Genomic DNA, 23,519 nt, shown 5'->3' on the forward strand with positions numbered 1-23,519 from the left:
ATTGAGACAATTTTCTAAAGGAATATTAAGATAAGATTGTTTGGTTAGAAACAAAACTGGTTGATCTCCTAAAGGACAATAAGCTATATCCTTTGAAGTATATTTTCCTATTTGTTTTAAAATGTAGGTTTTATTATTGTTTAGATATAGTGAGGCCAACAGATCAGGAGATGACGGCCACAGAAAACACAGTTTGTTAGAGCTCCCACAGGAAGGGGCCACACCATGCCACGCCACACAGGGTTGGGGCACAGAGGGAAAGAGGCAAGACAAGAGCCTTTGTAGTGGCTTCCAAGGGAAGGCCGGGCAAGGCGGGGAGAACAGGCTGGGCAGGTTTGGCCTTGGCTGATGTGATCAGCAGGCCCTGGCATGAAGGACTGTCCTCCCTGTCTCTGGCCTCACTCTATGGTAAGCAGGGCAAGGGCACAGTGGCCTGGAATGCAAGAGCTTATCCAACCAATCGAGGTGGCTGGCGGGATTGGCGGCTTGCATGTGAAACGTGTGCTTGCAGGTGAGTCATCTGCTATCTCTAAGAATGGATGAGCCGTAGGCAGGACGGGCTCTCCCCTTTTAGCCAGAGCATCAAGAATATAGAAAATAAAATGTAGTTAATACGCATCAAAGCAGAAACTATTTGTACCTCTATTGGCAAACATCTTCAAGTTAACATGCAATTTTGCCAACTCAAAGACTTTCATCAACTAGTAAGCAGTGAGTTGAACAAAGTACGTTCCCCTCATCTTTGGGTGGGACTGTCCCTTTGTATGACATTAAATGACATTCATTTCTCCTTTTTGCCTTACTTTCGCATTCTAGCCATCAGTATCATCTTCCCAAAACTCAGGTGGCAACTTGAGGTTAGAGGTTAAGGGTATGGCCTTTGGCACCTGGGTTGAAGCCTGACTCTGCAGCTGTGAGCACTGTGACCTCGGGCAGATTGCCTAACTCCTCTGTGCTCCAGGCTCCTCATCTGGGGAAAGGTGAAGGATACTCACAGAGCTTACCTCACAGGGAGGCTACTATAATCAATGGTTGCATGGCGTATATTTTTCTATGCTTTTACTTTCAACTTTTCTGGGTCTTTCTATTTAATGTGAGATCTCTGAGACGTCAAGCATATAGTTGTTTTTTTTTTTCTTTTCTCTTTTTGTTTTTGTTTCAATTAGAGACGGAGTTTTGCCATGTTGCCCAGGCTGGTCTCAAACTCCCAGCCTCTAGCCATCTGCCCGCCTCAGCCTCCCCAAGTGTTGGGATTACAGGTGTAAGCCACCGCACCCAGTTGGGTTTTATTTTTAATGCAATCTGACAATCTGACTTTTTATTGAGGTATTTAGTCTGTTTACATTTAATATACATAAACTGACCTTCGGGTTTGTCTCTACCATCTTCTTTGCTTCCTGCTTATTCCATCTGTTCTTTTTTCTTTAAACTTCTTTCACAGCTTCCTTGAAGTAATAAAGTATTTTTATTATTCCTCTTCCTCCCTCCATTAACTTGTCAGTTAAACATTCTGTTGTTATTCTTTTCATGATTGCGCTAGGGTGGCATTGACCAATGGAGCCTTCTGCCGTGAGACAGCCATTCTGTGCCTGTCTTTCCCTCTTACACCACCCACTCTTTCCTGTAGAATAGGGATGTGCAAACGTTCTCTCTAAAGGACCAGATGGTAAATATTTTAGGCTTTACAGGTTATATGGTCTCGGTAGCATCTTCTTAACTCTACCATCATAGCTTGAGAGCAGCCATAGGTAATAAGTCAACAGATTAGCGTGATTGTGTTTCAAAAGCACTTAATTTACAAAGCGGGTGGCAGGTGGCTTTTGCCCGCCAGCTGGCCTGCATCTACTCCATAGCCTCATGCTCTTTGAGGTAGCCTTGCTCCCAGGGCTCCAACTCAGGATGGATTCTATTCAGGGTCAACAATTTTCCTCATCTAATCTCTTTGGTCTAGGGGTGAAACCAGTTTTCCACTATTGCTTCTCCCAGTTAATTCATCAAAAATATTTGGCTTTCTTATTTCCATCCCTACCTCTGCAAACAGCTCCTGAAACTCTCTTCAGTTGAACGCTTTAAGTATGTCATCTTTTTCCTATCAAGATACCCACTGGGGGAGGGGTGTGGTGGCTCACGCCTGTAATCCCAAAACTATGGGAGGCCGAGGCAGGTGGATCACTTGAGGTCAGGAGTTCGAGACCAGCCTGGCCGTCATGGCGAAATCCTGTCTCTACTAAAAATACAAAAATTAGCCGGGCATGGTGGCGGGCACCTGTAATCCCAGCTACTTATGAGGCTGAGGCAGGAGAATCGCTTGAACCCAGGAGGCAGAGGTTGCAGTGAGCCAAGATTGCGCCACTGCACTCCAGCCTGAATGACAGAGTGAGACTCTGTCTCAAAAAAAAAAAAAAAAAAAGACACCCACTGGTGTAACTTCATACTTATGGACTTATGGCAAGTATTTCATTGTGTCCTAAGTAAAAACAAGCTGTTTCCCTATATGTCTCCCTCTCCTACTAAACTTCCTAGAGGGCAGACACTATGCCTTAGTTATACTGATATTCTCCATAAACCCTATTGTTAACTTTTGCATGTAATTGAAACTGAATAAGCAATTCAGAAATGGAGCCAGGAGAGGTTAGAATTAGGAAAAAAGAAATAAATATTATTTACCTAAGTGGGTAGGTGATGAAAGAGGAGTTTTCAAGAGAGACGGAGTAGGTAAAGGAAGAGAGCTAGTTGATTTAGTCTGAACCTTAAGGGAGGAAAAAATTTACAAGGAGATGGTGTGAAAACTGCCTGTTGTTGAATGTTATGGTTTGGCTGTGTTCCCACCCAAATCTCATCTTGAATTGTAGCTCCCATAATTCCCATGTGTTGTGGGAGGGACCCAGTGGGAGATAACTGAATCATGGGGGCTGTTTCCCCCATACTGTCCTTATGGTAGCGAATAAGTCTCATGAAATCTCATGGTTTTATAAGGAGAAACCCCTTTTGCTTGGTTCTCATTCTCTCTCTTGCCTTCTGCCATGATTGTGAGATCTCCCCAGCCATGTGGAACCGTGAGTCCATTAAATTGAGTGAGGGTGAGGAGATGGTGTTATCAGTGTGAGTTATTAACTGTGAGGGTGAGGAGAGGATATGAACAGTGTCAGTGATTAGTGAGGGTGAGGAGATGCTGTTATCACTGTTAGTTGTTGAGTGACGGTGAGGAGACGGTGTTGTCACTGTCAATTACTGAGTGTTAGGAGATGGTGTTTTCACTGTCAGTAGTTGAGTGAGGGTGAGGAGATGGTGTTGTCACTGTCAGTAGCTGACTGAGGGTGAGGAGATGCTGTTGTCATAGTCAGGTGGTGAGTGAGAGTGAGGAGATGGTCTCACTGTCAGGTGTTGAGTGAGGGTGTAGATGATGATGTCACTGTCAGTTGTTGAGTGAGGCTGAGGAGATAGTGTTGTCACTGTCAGTTCTTGAGTGAGGGTGAGGGGATGCTGTTGTCACTGTCAGGTGTTGAGTGAGGGTGAGGAGATGCTGTTGTCACTGTCAGGTGTTGACTAAGGGTGAGGAGATGGTGTCACTGTCAGTTGTTGAGTGAGGGTGAGGAGATGGTGTTGTCACTGTCAGTAGTTGAGTGAGGGTGAGGAGATGGTGTTGTCACTGTCAGTAGTTGAGTGAGGGTGAGGAGATGCTGTTGTCACAGTCAGGTGTTGAGTGAGGGTGAGGAGATGGTATCACTGTCAGGTGTTGAGTGAGGGTGTAGATGATGTTGTCACTGTCAGTTGAGTGAGGCTGAGGAGATGGTGTTGTCACTGTCAGTTCTTGAGTGAGGGTGAGGAGATGCTGTTGTCACTGTCAGGTGTTGAGTGAGGGTGAGGAGATGCTGTTGTTACTGTCAGGTGTTGAGTGAGGGTGAGGAGATGGTGTCACTGTCAGTTGTTGAATGAGGGTGAGGAGATGGTGTTGTCACTGTCAGTAGCTGAGTGAGGGTCAGGAGATGGTGTTGTCACTGTCAGTAGTTGAGTGAGGCTGAGGAGATGGTGATGTCACTGTCAGTTCTTGAGTGAGGGTGAGGAGATGGTGGTGTCACTGTCAGGTGTTGAGTGAGGGTGAGGAGATGGTGTTGTCACTGTCAGTAGTTGAGTGAGGGTGAGGAGATGGTGTTGCCACTGTCAGTTCTTGAGAGAGGGTGAGGAGATATTGTTGTCACTGTCAGGTGTTGAGTGAGGGTATAGATGATGTTGTCACTGTCAGCTGTTGAGTGAGGCTGAGGAGATGGTGTTGTCACTGTCAGTTCTTGAATGAGGCTGAGGAGATGCTGTTGTCACTGTCAGGTGTTGAGTGAGGGTGAGGAGATGCTGTTGTCACTGTCAGGTGTTGAGTGAGGGTGAGGAGATGTTGTCACTGTCAGTTCTTGAATGAGGCTGAGATGCTGTTGTCACTTTCAGGTGTTGAGTGAGGGTAAGGAGATGCTGTTGTCACTGTCAGGTGTTGAGTGAGGGTGAGGAGATGGTGTCACTGTCAGTTGTTGAGTGAGGGTAAGGAGACAGGAGACGGTGTTGTCACTGTCAGTAGTTGAGTGAGGGTCAGGAGATGGTGTTGTCACTGTCAGTTGTTGAGTGAGGGTACACTGTCAGTTGTTGACTGAGGCTGAGGAGATGCTGTTGTCACTCTCAGGTGTTGAGTGAGGGTGAGGAGATGGTGTTGTCACTATCAGTAGTTGACTGACAGTGAGGAGATGCTGTTGTCACTGTTGGAAGTTGAGTGAGGGTGAGGAGAAGGTGTTATCACTGTCAGGTGTTGAGTGAGAGAGAGGAGATGGTCTGTCACTGTCAGATGTTGAGTGAGGGTCAGGAGATGATGGTGTTACTGTCAGTAGTTGAGTGAGGGTCAGGAGATGGTGTTGTTGCTGTCAGTTATTGAGTGAGGGTGAGAAGACGGTGTTGTCCCTGTCAGTAGTTGAGGGTCAGGAGAAGGTGTTGTCATTGTCAGTTGTTGAGTGAGGGTGAAGAAATGTTGTTGTCACTTTCAGTTGCTGAGTGAGGGTCAGAAGATGTTGTCACTGTCAGGTGTTGACTGAGGGTCAGATGGTGTTGTCACTGTCAGTAGTTGAGTGAGGGTGAGAAGATGCTGTTGTCACTGTCAGTAGTTGAGTGAGGGTGAGGAGACGGCGTTATCACTGTCAGGTACTGAGTGAGGGTGAGGAGATGGTGTTACAGTGCCAGTGCTGTGAGAATGAGATGGTGTTATCAATATCAGTTGTTGAATGTGGGTGAGAGATGGTGTGAACAGTGTCAGCGGCTGAGAGTGAGGTAGAGAAATAATGGGTGAGGCCATTGTCAATTAGGAGGCCATTGGCGTCTTTTGAAAGTAGTTAGTGTCTGTGGAGTGGCATGTATTCAGGTTACATGAAAAGCAGCTGAGAAGCAAACTGGCAATCAGAGTGGCAGCAACAAATTAAGAATATTCATATTCATAAAGACCATTTTTTATAATGAAAAAGTAATACATGCAGATGGGGGAAGATCACCTGAACCTTGAGAGGTGGAAGATGTAGTGAGCCGTGATCAAAACATTACACTCCAGCCTGGGTAACAGAGACCCCATCTCCAAAAAACAGAAAAGAAAAGCATTTATAAGTTCATGTTGAACAGTGTTTCAAACACATAGACAAAATTTATATGTCATGAAAATGGAATATCAGAAAAACATTGTTTAAAAAAACACAAAGTGAGTAAACCATTAATACGTGAGGTGAGCGGTGCATCAGCTTGCCGGCTTCCAGCTGCAGCGGGTGATGGAGGTGGAAGGGAGCTGTCCTCGGGACAGGAAATGAAACAAACCCAACCAAAGCCGTGTATTCGTTTATTCAATATCGTTTTGCTTTCTTGTGTAGACTGAGGGTGTAAACCTCGTTTCTGACAGTCGCCTATAGGACTTTTCAGCAGGCTGTGGGCCTAGAGGTGGGGGATGTGGAATCAAGCTAAAGACCCAGAACCAGAGAAAGAAGGAAGCAGCAGTGAGGAAGCAGGACAAGAACATCTCGGAAATTCAGCCCGGCGCGGTGGGCGCGCCTGCAGTCGCGGCGCTTTGGGGGCCCGGGCCACGTAGCACGACCCTGCCTGTGAACGCACAGACACCAGCGGTTCCAAGGGCGCGGGCAGGAAGCGGGCACCGAAGGCAGGCTGGAGAAGCGCGGGGCGGAAGCAAGAAGCCGCGCGGCGAGGAGGGCGCGTGGGGCCCCACACAGCCATGGGGCGCGCGTACTACTGGCAGCGCAGGCTCTGGACCGCTAAGGAGGCCGCGCGCGCCCACGCGTGTCCCCGGCAGAGCTTCCAGGAGACGGCTGCGAGGCCCTTCCACCCGCGGACCAGAGCGCGCCGGGTCGAACCACGACCCACGTGCAGGCCCTCGCGCGCTACCGGAAGGCCAGCCTGTGGCGCACGCGCGCCCCGCCCCGCCGATCGGTGACGTCATCGGGCCCGTCACGAGGCGGGGGCGGGGCCTCGGAACGCGACGCCCCCCGTCCCAGCTTTAGCCACTCGTGACGTCATTGCCCGGACTCCACTGCCTCCTGCGCCGCGCTTTTGCCACCCTGGGCACGTCATCGTGCGCCGACGCCAAACGAGGGCGGGGCCTAGGGACGCCACACCTTCCGCGCCGCCGCTCGTTACGTCATCGGACCTCGCCGCTTGGCGGAGGCGGGGAAGGCCCGCAGGCGGCGCCTCAGCCGGGGTTGGCGCTGAGGGGAGAGGGCGGGGAAAAGGTGGCGAATTGAGGGGAAAGTGGGAGGGGCGGGAAAGGGGCGGTCGGAACATGGCGGACCAGATCCCGCTTTACCCGGTGCGTAGCGCAGCGGCGGCCGCAGCCAACCGCAAACGCGCGGCCTACTACAGCGCCGCGGGGCCCAGGCCGGGAGCCGACCGGCACAGCAGGTAACCGAGGCGGCACTGGCCCCGTTCCCCGCCGACGCTCCCCGGGGCCCCCAGCCCACCGCAGGAACCCGGAGCCGGGCGGGTCTGGGGTCGCTACCGGCGCGCCCCATCTGTTCGCTGGGAGCCGGGAGTCCTTGGCGTTCTGAGCGCGCCGCAGCTGTGGCGTCCGCCGGTGGTGAGGGCCGCGGGCAGCTGCCGGGGCGAGCGGCTGCATCCCCGGGACGCCTGGGCCGAGCGTAGGAGCCAGAACGGGAGCAGAGAACCGCGGTCCAGTGTTGAGGGGTGGCTGCTCTCCTAAAGTAAACGGGGATCAAAAGTGCTAACTTCTCGGATACTTCAGAGTCTCCGAAACTTGTTCTTGTAGCCCTGTGAATTGTGAAGGTGACGGATGTAACTTTTAATTGCTTTGTTAAAAACACACTTCTTATTGAAATGACTTCTCTTCGACATTTCGATATCTTTGCTAGGCACACTTTTTGTTTAAACATATATATACAAAGTGCTTTTTGTCGACAAGTAATTTTGCTTTTACGAAAGGGAAATGGGGTATTGAGAACGGTTAACTTGTTTAGTGGGGTCACAGGTTAGCAGTAGAATTAGTGTACAGACCTTTCATACTCGAGATTGCATTTAGCTCATATTTAACATTTCTCATTCAAAGAAAAGAAAATTTTAAAAAGTGTTGCTTCTTATAGTTTTTGAAGTTTTATTCCAGAGGAATTGTCGAAAACATAATTTCACTCAATATGTAGTTGCTTCAGAATTTGAGTTTTTGAATAATTTTTGTTTTCGGCCATTTGAGAGACTAACATATAGCTCAAAGTACATACTGGAATGTTATAACGCTGATTTGAGTGTTTACCCACTAGCGATTTACTCTCGGGTAACTTATTTAAACTCAAGCCATGGTTTCCTCATCTGTAAAATGCTGGATAATATTTTTTCTTACGGGATTATTGGAGATTACAGTAGAACATGTGTAAGGTGCCCTTTTTTCAGTGCTTGGTTGGAAGTGGGTTCTGGTGTTACCTATAACAGTAATTGTGTTAGTAAATCTGTTTAATTTTAGGAGTTCTTTAGTTGGAAATGTGCCACCTGTTTCAAAATAGGTTTCCATCACAGATTGAATCCATTTTTGCCTCATGTACTTTGAAGCACTGTCATGTGGTGCACGCACATTCAAGATTTTTTGTCATCTCGGTGGATTGTTCCTTTCATTGTTAATGTTCCTCTGTCTCTGGTAATTTTCTTTGCTCTAAAATCTTTATTAGATATTGATGTCGCCATTTATGCTTTTTTTTGGATTAATGTTTGCATGGTATTAGCTTTCAACTTACCTATGTTGAATTTGAAGTGAGTTTCTTGTTGGATCTTATATTTTTTATCAACTATGCCATTCTCTTTTGATTGGCATATTTACACCATTTACATTTACGATAATTACTGATATGTTAGAATATAAGTGTGCCATTTATTATCTGTGTTCTGTTTCTTCTGATTCTCATTCTGATTCCTGTTTCTTTTTTTTTTTTTTTTTGCCACTTTTTGGGTTACTTGGACACTTTTTTGGTATCCCTATAGTGTGTTTGAGATTAGGTGTTGGTATAGTTTTTACAGTGCTTGCTCTGGGTATTACAATATACAAATGTGACTTATCACCATGGTGTATTGCTGTATTTCACCACTTCCAGTCAAGTGTGGAAACCCTTCTTTCACTTAGGTCCTCACTTTAAGTATCATGTCCTGGGTATCAGATGGTGTTACAGTTTTTGTGTCAGTCATCAAATATGGTTTATAAAACTCATGATGATAAAGATAGTGTATTGCATATACCACATACGCATATTTCCCCTTTTTCTATTGTTCTTCCTTTTTTTTTTTTTTGAGACAGGGTCTCACTCTGTTCTCCTGGCTGGAGTTAGTGATGCGATCGTAGCTCATTACAGCTTTGATCTGTTGGGCCCAGGCAATCCACCCATGTAGCTGGGACTATAGGCACATACCACCATGCCTGGCTAATTAAAAAAAATTTTTTTTGAAGAGACAGCATCTTGCTATATTGCCCAACTGGTCTCAAGTGATCCTCCTGTGTCATCCTCCCAGAGTGTTAGGATTAAGGCGTGAGCCATGGCTGCTAGCCTGCCATTCTTTTCTTAGCACTTGAAAAATCTTGTGCTGCTTCCTTCTTGTGTCCATGGTTTCTGATTAGGATGCTGCTGTCACTCAGATTGATGTTCCCCTGTAGATAATGTGTCATTTCTCTCTGGCTGCTTTCAAGTTTTTACTTTGTCTTTAGTTTTCAGAAGTTTAATTATGATGTGTCTTATCATGGATTTCTTTGGATTTCATGTTTGGTTTTGTTTTTTTTTTTTTTTTTGGTTTTCGAATAAATTTAGGGAGTTTTTAGCCATTATTTCTTCAACTACTCTTTGTTGTTGTTGAAATAATGGAGAGTTGCTCCCACTCTCTTCTCTCCATTTGGATTTCCAGTGTTAAGAAAGTTGGATCTTATGTTGGTGTTTCATAATTTCCTTAGGCTCTTTCCCTGTTTCTTTTCTCTGTGTTGTTCAGATTGTGTAAATTCTATTAATCTCTTCTCAAGTTCCCTAATTCTTTTTTTTTTTAATTTTTTTCAGTATTTATTGATCATTCTTGGGTGTTTCTCGGAGAGGGGGATTTGGCAGGGTCATAGGACAATAGTGGAGAGAAGGTCAGCAGATAAACATGTGAACAAAGGTCTCTGGTTTTCCTAGGCAGAGGACCCTGCGGCCTTCCGCAGTGTTTGTGTCCCTGGGTACTTGAGATTAGGGAGTGGTGATGACTCTTAACGAGCATGCTGCCTTCAAGCATCTGTTTAACAAAGCACATCTTGCACCGCCCTTAATCCATTTAACCTGGAGTTGACACAGCACATGTTTCAGAGAGCACGGGGTTGGGGGTAAGGTTATAGATTAACGGCATCCCAAGGCAGAAGAATTTTTCTTAGTACAGAACAAAATGGAGTCTCCTATGTCTACTTCTTTCTACACAGACACAGTAACAATCTGATCTCTCTTTCTTTTCCCGACATTTCCCCCTTTTCTGTTCGACAAAACCGCCATCGTCATCATGGCCCGTTCTCAGTGAGCTGTTGGGTACCCCTCTGAGACAAGGCGGCTGCCGGGTGGGGGCGCCCCCCCACCTCCCAGACCAGGCGGCTGCTGGGCGGGGGCGCCCCCCACCTCCCAGACGGGGCGGCTGGGCGGAGATGCTTCTCACCTCCCAGATGGGGTGGCTGCCGGGCAGAGGGGCTCCTCACCTCTCAGATGGGGCGGCCGGGCAGAGGCGCTCCTCAGTTCCCAGACAGGGTGGCGGCTGGGTAGAGATGCTCCTCACCTCCCAGACAGGGCGGCCGGGCAGAGGCGCTCGTCACATCCCAGACGATGGGCGGCCGGGCAGAGACGCTCCTCACTTCCTAGACGGGATGACGGCCAGGAAGAGGCGCTCCTCACTTCCCAGACTGGGCGGCGGGGCAGAGGAGCTCCTCCCATCCCAGATGATGGGCCGCCAGGCGGAGACGCTCCTCACTTCCTAGATGGGGTGGCGGCCGGGAAGAGGCGCTTCTCACTTCCCAGACTGGGAGGCCGGGCAGACGGGCTCCTCACATCCCAGACAATGGGTGGCCAGGCAGAGACGCTCCTCACTTCCTAGATGGGGTGGCAGCTGGGCAGAGGCTGCAATCTCAGCACTTTGGGAGGCCAAGGCAGGCGGCTGGGAAGTGGAGGTTGTAGCGAGCCGAGATCACCCCACTGCACTCCAGCCTGGGCAACATTGAGCACTGAGTGAGCGAGACTCCGTCTGCAATCCCAGCACCCCGGGAGGCCGAGGCGGGCAGACCACTCGAAGTCAGGAGCCGGAGACCAGCCTGGCCAACACGGAGAAACCCCGTCTCCACCAAAAAATACAAAAACCAGTCAGGCGTGGCGGCGCGCGCCTGCAATCCCAGGCACTCGGCAGGCTGAGGCAGGAGAATCAGGCAGGGAGGTTGCAGTGAGCCAAGATTGCGGCAGTACAGTCCAGCCTCGGCAACAGAGGGAGACCGTGGAAAGCGGGAGACGGAGACGAGGGAGGGGGGAGACCGTGGAAAGCGGGAGACGGAGACGACGGAGAGGGAGAAGGGAGAGGGTAATTCCCTAATTCTTTACTCTGTTATCTCCACTCTATTCTCAATCTCATCCAGTGAGGTTTTATTTCTGTTATTGTATTTCTCAGTTTTATAATTTATGTTTGTTTCAAGATAATATTTGATTGTGGAAGCATTTTTATGTCTGCTGCTTTAAAATGCTTGTCATATAATTAATGCCAGTATCTGAGTTAGCTCAGTGTCGGTGTCATGTGATTGCCTTTTCTAATTCAGATTGCGAATGTTCTGGCTCTTGGTTTGACAGATGGTTTTCGATTGTCTCTTGGGTATTTTGTATATTAGGAGAATTTGGGTTCTATTTATATCTTTTATTTTAGCGTGCAGCCACCCTGTTTAGATTCAGCACATAGGTCCTGGGCTACATTTGTGGGCTGTGGTTCTAAATGACATTTTAATTCTCAGAGCCTTTGTGCTGTGATCTTTGGTCTGCTTGGTTTATGTGGTATCACTGGGGCTCTTCCTGGTCTCTGTTGGTGCTGCGTGAGAGGGAAAGGTGGATTTTCCTAGGCCTGGCGTCTCTTACTAAAAGATGGAAGTGTCAGACCCATGGGGATGAAGAGGCTTCTTTGGCTGGGCCCTGGCTGTGGCTGTATCCCATCCATATGGACCCAGTGGCTGCCCTGGTGTGTCTGGGTTGGAGAAGAGGAGTCTTAGCACCACCATGGTAAAAGGGTTCCTGTGGCAGAATCCCTATTGCTGGTGCCACCTCGATGCTCTGATGTCTTGGAGCAAGGTCTTAGGTTATGGATAAAAAGGTTTTCTGGACTGGGCCCCTTATGTGGTGGGGTTGCACCTGTCGGTGCTGCCTGGCTCTCCCTAATGAGAGAGACCAGTCTCGGGCATGAGGGGCACAGAGCCTTACTGGGCCAGCAGCTTGTAGTGGCAAGTTCCCCTTACTGCTACTGCCCAGATGCCCCGGTATCCCCTGATGGGAGAGGGGAGCCTCAGGCCCCAGTATCCCTTGGTGGGAGAGGGGAGTCTCAGGAAGTCACTGCTGCCTTCTTACCTTCTTCCAGAACTCTCCTTTGATTGGCTCTTGCTTAATTACTAGGATTTATAGTTGGACTTAACTGGGGAGGAGCAGAGAAATGGGTCTGTGGCATTTTGTCTGGACCAGAAGTTGTGCTTCTACATTATTTTCTGAAGTTGGGTTTTATTTTATCGTGGTAACATACACATAGTTTATAAAGTTAAGTGGTGCTTTTACAAGGCTTGCAGTAAGATATTGTGACTCAACCTGTATGTTGGTAACTATTCTCTGGCTTTTGAAAATAACATTTATTTTGCTGTTAAATGTTGATTATTACCTTTTAGTTAATGGTGCTGTTGAGTTCATCTTCCCTTGTGACTTTGTTTATTCTTTTTAGAGTTTTTTTTTTTTTGAGACGGAGTCTCACTCTGTCCCCCAGGCTGGAGTGCATTGGTGCAGTCTTGGCTCACTGCAAGCTCTGCCTCCCAGGTTCACGCCATTCTCCTGCCTCAGCCTCTCAAGTAGCTGGGACTACAGGCGCTCACTACAGCCTCGACCTTCTGGGCTCAAGCCATCCTCCTGCTTTAGCCTCCAGAGTAGCTGGGATAGTAGGCACATGCCAACATGCCCAACTAATTTTTTAATTTTTTTTTGTAGAGATGGGGTTGCACTGGACTTGAACTCCTGGGCTCAGTGATCGCCTTCTGTCGGCCTTCCAAAGTGCTGGGATTACAAGCATGAGCCAGTGCACCCTGCCTCTTTTTAGAGTTTTATCAATTGTTGTTTCACATATTTTGCAGGTCTGTTGTTTGGTGCATACACATTTGAGATTCCTGTGTGTTCTAGATGCATTGACACTTTTATCATTATGTAGTTCACCCATGTGTCTCTGGTAATTTTTCTGCTCTGAAATCTTCATCTGACACTAATATAGCTACCTCTGCTTTCCTTCAATTAATGTTTGCATGGTATATAATTTTCCATCCTTTCTCTCTCAAGTCACTTATATTTGAAGTGATTTTCTGGTAGTTGTCATACGGTTGGTTCTTTTTTTTTACCCACCGCCATTGTCTGTCTTTGGATTGATATATTTAGAAGGTTTATGTTCAGCGTAATGTTTATGCCATTTTATTTTTTGCTTTCTGTTTTTGTTTCTCGGTTTTCTTTTTCCTGCCTTACGGATTATGCTTCAACATTTTTTAGAATTCCAGTTTGATTTATCTATAGCGTTCTTCAGTGTATTTCTTTGTGTAGATATTACTTAGTGCTAGCTCTAGGAATTACATTACATATACATAACTCATTGCAGTGTACTGTTGTTGGTATTTTAACGGTTGTTGGGTAAAGTGTAAGAGCTTTACCTCTTTAAATCCCTTTATTCTCCCATTGGTAATATAATACTCATGTAAAAGTGTATGTAGATTTTACATATGTAAAAGTATATAAATATTTCCCTTATATACAATTAGAACCCTATATCAGACAGTGTTAACAATTTTTGCTTTCTCTCAATCTAGAATATTCAAGAGGCAAAGGAAAGCCTATTATATTCATCTACCCTTTCTGCCCTTTCTGTTTTCTTATTTCCTGATAGTCCACAATTTCTTATTTTTGTTCTGTTTCAGTAATTCTCTAACTATTCTTTTAGGGTAAGTCTACTGGAAACAAATTCTCTTTGTTTTCCTTCATCTGAAGATGCCTGTATTTCTCCTTCATTCCTGAAGGATAATTTCACCAGATACGGAATTCGGAGTTGACAGTTCTTTTCTTTCAGAACTTGAAAAGTGTTATGCCACTTCTTTCTGGTCTCCGTGCTTTCTGATGAGAAATCTGATATCATTTGAGTTGTTTTTCCTTTTGAGATAGGTGTCACTTTTCTCTTACTACTTTCAAGCATTTTTTTTAAGTCTTTAGTTTTTAGTCGTTTGACTGTTCTGGGTCTTGGTATGGATTTCTTCAGGATTACCCTGTTTAGGGTTTGCTTAGTATCCTAATTCTATAAGTTTGTGTCTTTTGTCAAATCTGAGAAGTTTGCAGCCATTCTTTGAGTGCTTTTTGAGCTCTACTCTCCGTCCCTTCTTTTACCCTGGTGACACCTTGTGAAATCTTTTCTTGTACCATAGGGTCCTGAGTTTCTGCTCATTTTTTCTAAGTCCATTTCCTGTTCATATTGGGCAGTTTCTGTTATTTTCTCTTAAAGTTCACTGATTTTTTCTTCCTCGTTTTTTTAGTTTTACTGTTGAGCCCATCCATTAAGATTTTTAGTTTCAAAATTTCCAGTTGATTCTTCCTCATACTAGCAGTGTCTCTTCTGAGACTTTATATTTTTTCATTTGTTTCAAGTCTGTTCATAATTGTCCATTGAGACATTTTTATGATGTGTGTTTAAAAATCCTCATTAGATAATTTCAGTATCTGTGTTGTTTTGATGTTGACATCTATTGATTCTCTTTTCTCATTTGAGTTGAAATTTTTCTGGTTTTGGGGATAATGAGTGATTTTCCAGTATAGCCTAGACATTTTGGGTATTATGTTATGAGATTTGGGACCTTATTTAAATCTTCTGCTTATCGGGCCTGGTGGTGGTGGGAGTGGAATGTGGGGGTTACTGCCAGAAGGGGCTGAAGAGCCAGATTCCCTTCACAGCCCCCTTTGACATCTGGGAAGGGAAGGTACCATGTGACTGCTGGCTCCCCAGTGGTCTCTGCTAACAATACCTTGGCTGGGAAGGGGAGGAGTGCCTGGTTACTGCATGCCTGTGGCCTCCACTGACATTGCATGGGTGGTGTTACCTTTTAGAAGGTGGTTAGATTTTCCACTTTTCACTAGGCCTCCTCTGACATTATAGAGATGGGCAGGAATGCTTTATTACTGCTATTTGGGGATGTTAAATACAATGTACCAGAGGCCATTATTTCAGACTAAGCTCCTGCACCAGGCAAAGCAGACCAGAACAAACCAGAATGGAGTCACTTGTGCTAGGTGCCACAATCAAACTAAATTAAAAACAGACCAGTTTCCTCAAAAACAAGAGGTTCACAGCAACCAATCATAAGGGGGCCAAACTGAGCCAGCATAAGAGAGTCCTCTCTACTTTACCCTGTAAGGAAAGTAACTTTGAAATGCCCAATCTGTATTTTGTTCCTCGTATCTGCTTTCTGCAGCCCTCTCTGGCTGTAAAGTTTACCTCTGCTGCTCAGCATATCTGAGTATCTTTCTATTTCATAGATGAAATACTGCCTGATTTGCTAATAAAAGCCGGTTCGATCTTTAAACTAAATTTTTTGAAACTTTAACAGGAACGAGCATCCGGCACCCTTGTGCATGTACCCTACAATGACTGCCAGGCTTGGATGGATGTCCCCACTCCTGACTTGGTCTGCCCTGACACCACCTGGGCAATGGGGAGAGTGTCTTCCTACGGCTGGGGCGTGTGGGAGTCCAGGCTTCACGCACTCTTTGCTGTTCAATGTAGGTGAGGCTATTTGCTTTTTCTGTCGTCTTTGGATGGGATATAGCAATTACTATCAAAAATTTTTCGTTCCACTAGGCTGCCCTTTTCCTGGTCCTTTGGCTGGAGAGACCAGACTTTTCTTGGGGACTTTTTTGGTCTGTGTCTATTACTTTTCTGGTTGCTAACTCTCTAGTACACAACATGGGCATGAGACCAAAAGGAAATACTGGAAACTCACTGTTGTCTTGTTCTCTGGGTCCAAGGACCTTACTGGTCTGCCCTCTTCTCTCCACATTTTGATGTATAATGTCCAGGGTTTTTATCTGTTTAGTGGGAAGAACAGGGAGTAGCACATCTACTCCATCTTGGTCTAGAACTGGAAGGAAGGAGCAGTTTACATTTTTTCTTTTTTCTTCTTTTTATTTACTCTTTTTTATTTTAAAATTGCTTCATTTACTCATTTTTAACAGCTTTTTTGATATAGTTTACATACATACAAGTTACCCCACTTAAAGTGTATAGTTCAGTTTTTTTTTTTTTTATGCTTTAAGTTCTGGGATACTTGTGCAGAATGTGCAGGTTTGTTGCATAGGTATACACATGCTGTGGTGGTTTGCTGCACCTATCAACCCATCATCTACATTAGGTATTTCTCCTAATGTTATCCTTCACCTAGCCCCCCACACCCCGACAGGCCCCGGTGTGTGTTGTTCCCCTCCCTGTGTCCATGTGTTCTCATTGTTCAACTCCCATTTATGAGTGAGAACATGCAGTGTTTGGTTTTCTGTTCTTGTGTTAGTTTGCTGAGAATGACGGTTTCCAGCTTCGTCCATGTCCACGCAAAGGACATGAACTCATCCTTTTTTATGGCTGCATAGTATTCCATGGTGTATTTGTGCCACATTTTCTTTATCCAGTCTGTCATTGATGGGCATTTGGGTTGGTTCCAAGTCTTTGCTATTGTGAGTAGTGCTGCAGTAAACATACATGTGCATGTGTCTTTATAGTAGAATGATTTATAATCCTTTGGGTATATACCCAGTAATGGGATTGCTGGGTCAGAGGGTATTTCTGGTTCTAGATCCTTGAGGAATTGCTACACTGTCTTCCACAATGGTTGAACTAACTTACACTCCCACCAACAGTATAAAAGTGTTCCTGTTTCTCCATGTCCTCTCCAGCATCTGTTGTTTCCTGACTTTTTAGTGATTACCATTCTAACTGGCGTGAGATGGTATCTCATTGTGGTTTTGATTTGCATTTCTCTGATGAGCTTTTCTTCATATGTTTGTCGGCCGCATAAATGTCTTCATTTGAAAAGTGTCTGTTCATATCCTTTGCTTGCTTTTTGATGGGATTCGTTTGTTTTTTTCTTGTAAATTTAAGTTCCTCGTAGATTCTGCATATTAGCCCTTTGTCAGATGGATAGATTGCAAAAATTTTCTCCCATTCTATAGGTTGCCTGTTCACTCTGATGGTAGTTTCTTTTGCTGAGCAGAAGCTCTTTAGTTTAATTAGATCCCATTTGTCAATTTTGGCTTTTGTTGTCATGGCTTTTGGTGTTTTAATCATGAAGTCTTTGCCCATGCCTGTGTCCTGAATGGTATTGCCTAGGTTTTCTTCTAGGGTTTTTATAGTTTTAGGTCTTACGTTTACGTCTTTAAGCCACCTTGAGTTAATTTTCGTATAAGTTGTAAGGAAGGGGTCCAGTTTCAGTTTTCTGCATATGGCTAGCCAGTTTTCCCAACACCATTTATTAAATAGGGAATCCTTTCCCCATTGCTTGTTTTTGTCAGGTTTGTTAAAGATCAGATGGTTTTCGATGTGTGGCGTTATTTCTGAGGCCTCTTTTCTGTTACATTGGTCTATAACTCTGTTTTGGTACCAGTACTATACTGTTACTGTAGCCTTGTAGTATAGTTTGAAGTCAGATAGCATGACGCCTCCAGGTTTGTTCTTTTTGCTTAGGATTGTCTTGGCTATGTGGGCTCTTTTTTGGTTCCATATGAAATTTAAAGTAGTTTTTTTCTAATTCTTTGAAGAAAGTCAGTGGTAGCTTGATGGGCATAGCATTGAATCTGTAAATTACTTTGGGCAGTATGGTCATTTTCACAATATTGATTCTTCCTATCCATGAGCATGGAATGTTTTTCCATTTGTTTGTGTCCTCTCTTATTTCCTTGAGCAGTGGTTTGTAGTTCTCCTTGAAGAAGTCCTTCACATCCCTTATAAGTTGTATTCCTAGTTATTTTATTCTCTTTGTAGCAGTTGTGAATGGAAATTCACTCATGATTTGGCTCTTTGTCTATTGGTGTATAGGAATGCCTGTGATTTTTGCACATTGATTTTGTATCCTGAGACTTTGCTAAGTTGCTTATCAGCTTAAGGAGATTTTGGGTTTTGTAAGTATACAATCATGTCATCCACAAACAGAGACAATTTGACTTCCTCTTTCCCTATTTGAATACCCTTTATTTCTTTCTTTTGCCTGATTGCCCTGTCCAGGACTTCCAATACTATGTTGAATAGGAGTGGTGAGAGAGGGCATCCTTGTCTTGTGCTGGTTTTCAAAGGGAATGCTTCCAGCTTTTGCCCACTCAGTATGATATTGGCTGTGGGTTTGTCATAAATAGCTCTTATTATTTTGAGATACATTCCATCAATACCTACTTTATTGAGAGTTTTCAGCATGAAGGGGTTTTGAATTTTATCAAAGGCCTTTTCTGCATCTATTGAGATAATCGTGGTTTTTGTCATTGGTTCTGTTTATGTGATGGATTACGTTTATTGATTTGCATATGTTGAACTAGCCTTGCATCCCAGGGATGAAGCTGACTTGATCATGGTGGATAAGCTTTTTGATGTGCTGCTGGATTCGGTTTGCCAGTATTTTATTGAGGATTTTCACATTGATGTTCATCAGGGATATTGGCCTGAAATTTTCTTTTTTTGTTGTGTCTCTGCCAGGTTTTGTTATCAGGATGATGCTGGCCTCATAAAATGAGTTAGGGAGGAGTCCCTCTTTTTCTGTTGTTTGGAATAGTTTCAGAAGGAATGATACCAGCTCCTCTTTGTACTTCTGGTAGAATTTGGCTGTGAATCCATCTGGTCGTGGGCTTTTTTTGGTTGGTAGGCTATTAATTACCGTCTCAGTTTCAGAACTTGTTATTGGTCTATTCAGGGATTCAACTTCTTCCTGGTTTAGTCTTGGGAGGGTATATGTGTCCAGGAATTTCTTCTAGGTTTTCTAGTTTATTTGCATAGAGGTGTTTATAGTATTCTCTGATGGTAGTTTGTATTTCTGTGGGATCAGTGGTGATATCACCTTTATCATTTTTTATTGTGTCTATTTGATTCTTCTCTCTTTACTTCTTTATTAGTCTGGCTAGTGGTCTATCTATTCAGCTAATCTTTTCAAAAAACCAGCTCCTGGGTATTCATTATATCCAGCCAAACTAAACTGAAGGAGATAGAGACACGAAAAACCCTTCAAACCCTTTTCTTCGAAGGGTTTTTCGTGTCTCTATCTCCTTCAGTTTAGTTTGGCTGGATATACAATTCTGGGTTGAAAATTCTTTAAGAATGTTGAATATTGGACCTCACTCTCTTCTGGCTTGTAGGGTTTCTGCAGAGAGATCTGCTGTTAGTCTGATGGGCTTCTCTTTGTGGGTAACCCGACCTTTCTCTCTGGCTGCCCTAAACATTTTTTCCTTCATTTCAACCTTAGTGAATCTGACGATTATGTGTCTTGGGGTTGCTGTTCTCAAGGAGTATCTTTGTGGTGTTCTCTGTATTTCCTAAATTTGAATGTTGGCCTGTCTTGCTAGGTTGGGGAAGTTCTCCCGGATAATATCCTGCAGAGTGTTTTCCAACTTGGTTCCATTCTCCCCGTCACATTCATTCACACAATGAAACATAGGTTTGGTCTTTTCACATAGTCCCATGTTTCTTGGAGGCTTTGTTCATTCCTTTTCATTCATTTTTCTCTAATCTTGTCTTCACGCTTTATTTCATTAAATTGATCTTCAATCTCTGATATAATTTCTTCCACTTGATTTGGCTATTGATACTTGTGTATGCTTCATGAAGTTCTTGTGCTGTGTTTTTCGGCTCCATCAGGTAATTTATGTTCTTCTCTAAACTGGTTATTCTAGTTAACAATTCCTCTAACCTTTTTTCAAGGTTCTTAGCTTCCTTGCATTGGGTTAGAACATGCTTCTTTAGCTCGGAGGAGTTTGTTATTACCCACCTTCTGAAGTCTACTTTTGTCAATTTGTCAAACTCCTTCTCTGTCCAGTTTTGTTCTCTTGCAGGTGAGGAGTTGTGATCCTTTGGAGGAGAAGAGGCGTTCTGGTTTTAGGAATTATCAGCCTTTTTGTGCTGGTTTTTCCTTATCTTCGTGGATTTATCTGCCTTTGGTCTTTGATGCTGGTGACCTTCAGATGGAGTTTTTGTGTGGATGTCCTTTTTGTTGATGTTGATGCAGTTCCTTTGTTTGTTAGTTTTACTTCTAACAGTCAGGCACGTCTGTTGCAGGTCTGCTGGAGTTTGCTGGAGATCCACTCCAGATCCTGTTTACCTGGGTTTCACCAGCGGAGGTTGCAGAACAGCAAAGATTGCTGCCTGTTTCTTCCTCTGGAAGCTTCGTCCCAAAGGGGCACCTGCCAGATGCCAGCCGGAGCTCTCCGGTATGAGGTGTCTGTTGACCCCTGCTAGGAGGTGTCTCCAGTCAGGATACATGGCGGTCAGGGATCCACTTGAGGAGGCAGTCTGTCCCTTAGCAGAGCTCAAGCGCTGTGCTGGGAGATACACAGCTCTCTTCAGAGGTGGCAGGCAGGAACATTTAAGTCTGCTGAGGCTGTGCCCACAACCTACCCTTCCCCCAGGTGCTCTGTCACAGGAAGATGGGAGTTTTATCTATAAGCCCCTGACTGGGGCAGCTGCCTTTCTTTCAGAGATGCCCTTCCCAGAGAGGAGGAATCTAGAGAGGCAGTCTGGCTACAGTGGCTTTGCCAAGGTGTGGTGGGCTCTGCCTAGGTCAGACTTCCCAGCGGCTTTGTTTACACTGTGAGGGGAAAACCACCTACTCAAGCCACAGTAATGGCAGACGCCCCTTGCCCCACCAAGCTTGGGCATCCCAGGTTGACTTCAGACTGCTGTGCTGGCAGCGAGCATTTCAAGCCAGTGAATCTTAGCTTGCTGGGCTCCGTGGGGGTGGGATTCGCTGAGGTAGATCACTTGGCTCCCTGGCTTCAGCCCCCTTTCCAGAAGAGTGAACGGTTCTGTCTTGTTGGCATTCCAGGCGCCACTGGGGTATGAAAAAAGACTCCTGCAGCTAGCTCGGTGTCTGCCCAAACGGCCACCTAGCTTTGTGCTTGAAATGCAGGGCCCTGGTGGTGTAGGCATCGAAAGGAATCTCCTGGTCTGCGGATTGCGAAGACCATGGGAAGTGCGTAGTATCTGGGCCAAAATGCTCTGTTCCTCACAGCACAGTCCCTCAGTGCTTCCCTTGGCTAGGGGTGGGGAAGTTTGCCTGACCCCTTGTGCTTCCCGGGTGAGGCGACACCCCACTTTGCTTCAGCTTGCCCTCCTTGGGCTGCACCCACTGTCTAACCAGTCCCAGTGAGATGAGCTGGGTACCTCAGTTAGAAATGCAGAAATAACTCGCCTTTTGCCTTGATCTCATTGGGAGCTGCAGACCAGAGCTGTTCCTATTGACCATCTTCTTCTTTTTTTTTTTTTTTTGAGAGGGAGTCTTTCTCTGTTGCTAGGCTGGAGTGCAGTGGCGCCATCTTGGCTCACTGCAGCCTCTCCTGGCTTCAAGCGACTCCCCTACCTTAGCCTCCCAAGTAGCTGGCACTACAGGCACGTGCCACCATGCCCGGCTAATTTTTTTTGTTTTAGTAGAGACAGGGTTTCACCATGTTGGCCAGGATGGTCTTGATCTCCGGACTTCATGATCCACCCGCCTCGGCCTCCCAAATTGCTGGGATTACAGGCGTGAGCCACTGCGCCTGGCTCAGTTTTTTTTTTTGGAATATTCATAGATAAATGTAACTCACCAAAGTCAGTGTTTGAACATGTTCATCATGTCCAAAAGAAAGTTTGTACCCCGTTGGGTACCCCGGGTATGAGTACCCCTATCATTTTCCTACCAACCCTATCCCATCATTTTCCATTCCACCTATCCCCCAACCACCATATCTATAGAGTTTTTTCACTGTGGTAAAATATAGGTAACTTAAAATTTACCATTTTAACTATTTATAACAAGTCACTAATTTCAGAATGGCACACATTTCCCAAAATAGAAATATTAGAACATGACAATTTTGCTATAAACTTAATTCACTTCCCAATTTAAACTTTGGGAAGTGTGTGCTATATAATAGAGTAAAAGTAAAAAAAAAAAAAATGTAAGCGTATTGTCTTAATTTACGAGAAACAGAATTTTACATTATGCAGCCTAGATATCCACATTGGCGGTTGAAAACTAAATAGTTATTAGAAAAACAGCTTTCATATGAGCTTTACATCGCTTTGTGAGCATTGAAAGCTTCCTTCCTTGACCATTTGAAAATGACATTTTGCTCTTATGTATAAATAATTGTACTTATTGTATTTTAAAAGTTCTCAGGTTTTCCTTGAAGTGGAATTATTTTTATTTCATTATAATCATACTACTTTAGGACACAGTGTATTTAAAAGATAACGTTGGTTAGTTGTTAAAACTTGTATAAAAATTTTCATGACTGGGCTTATATTTTATAAAAATTTCCAAGGGAAGAATTAGATGTGATTTGAGTATGATGTTAGTCCATTCTTGCATTACTATAAAGAAATATAATACTTGAGGCTGGGTAATTTACAAAAAAAAAAAAAAGGTTTAATTGGCTCGTGCTTCTGTAAGCTTTTAAGGAAGCATGGTGCTGGCATCTGCTTCTGGTGAGGCCTCAGGAAGTACACAATCATGGTGGAAGGTATTGGAGAGCCAGCATGTCACATGACGAAAGGGAGCAAGAGAGAGAATGGGAGGTCCCAGACTTTTATAAACAACCAGATCTCACGTGAACTGAGTGAGAACACACTTATCAATCACCATGGGGACTCATGAGAGGACCACCCCCTACCCCATGATTCAGTATCTCCCACTAGGCCCCACCTCTGACATTGGGGATCACATTTCAACATGAAATTTGCAGGGGACACACATCCAAACCATAGCATATGGTTAAGGAAGATTAAGAAATTCAATAGCACATTGCCTTTATTATCATCGAGGATGAAGATGTTACGGTTTTCATATGTCATTAAGTAAACAAAATGACGTGTGCCACACATAGTAGCTCATAGTTCACTGGGAACGCAGTTACTTGTTCAGTCTGTTTTCTACAAAGTCATGTGAGATACTGATTTTTCCTTCGCATTGTTGATATCTGGGTGAAAATAAGGTATTTGTTAAATTGGTATTTCCCTTTTTTGTGTTTTAAGTGATAGTGGTGTCATTCAACTTATCTTTGCAGTTGAATGAAGAATGAATGACATTGAGCATTATTGTTTTGTTTATCCATGTCCATTATTAGTTTTTCTTTGCTTTTGCCAGCAGTGTGACTATTGGCCCTGCCCAGAGCCATTTGCAATCTTACAATAGTTAAGTGTTAGCACTGAAAGATACTAATGTTAAGAACAGATGTCTACTGTCTGATTATTGGGAAAATATTAGTGTTTCTTAGTAGAAGCAACACAGTTTTTTTTAATACTAGATTTCTCATTCTGAGTCTATACACAATTTTCTATGAATCATAAAACTTTGATAATTATGATAGTCTAATATTTTACTAGTTGTAAAAATGAAACTTATTTTGCTGTGATGTTTCACAATTGAAAAGCCTTTTTTTTTTTTAAGGCGTAGTACTAATTCTTAAGACAGTGTTTATCTAATTGTCCAGTCCCAGGATTCATTGGAATCAGAGACATTTTCTTAGGGG

General features: G+C 44.5%; 1 protein-coding gene and 1 long non-coding RNA gene across 31 annotated transcripts in view; one reads left to right on the top strand and one right to left on the bottom strand.

Annotated features, from left to right (window-relative positions):
* Positions 1 to 1,435, bottom strand: part of LOC105372225 (uncharacterized) — a 62,644-nt gene extending 61,209 nt beyond the window's left edge. Inside the window, exon 1 of the long non-coding RNA XR_001753514.2 lies at positions 1,365 to 1,435. This is a non-coding gene — a long non-coding RNA (uncharacterized LOC105372225). The remainder of the gene's footprint in view (positions 1 to 1,364) is intronic.
* A 5,353-nt stretch (positions 1,436 to 6,788) lies between these two features.
* Positions 6,789 to 23,519, top strand: part of ATP9B (ATPase phospholipid transporting 9B (putative)) — a 308,890-nt gene continuing 292,159 nt past the window's right edge. For 16 of the 30 annotated variants that reach the window (XM_017025726.2, XM_011525963.3, XM_017025727.2 and 13 more), the window contains exons 1-2: positions 6,789 to 6,924; positions 15,377 to 15,552. In XM_017025726.2, the coding sequence (XP_016881215.1) occupies positions 15,431 to 15,552 (122 nt within the window). In that variant the 5' untranslated portion in view covers positions 6,789 to 6,924; positions 15,377 to 15,430. Of the gene's footprint in view, positions 6,925 to 15,376; positions 15,553 to 23,519 lie in introns of those variants that run through there. The other 14 variants (NR_148360.2, XM_011525964.3, XM_047437489.1 and 11 more) reach the window with 2 other exon arrangements.

Source organism: Homo sapiens, chromosome 18, assembly GCF_000001405.40.
Source record: "Homo sapiens chromosome 18, GRCh38.p14 Primary Assembly".
NCBI lineage: Eukaryota > Metazoa > Chordata > Mammalia > Primates > Hominidae > Homo > Homo sapiens.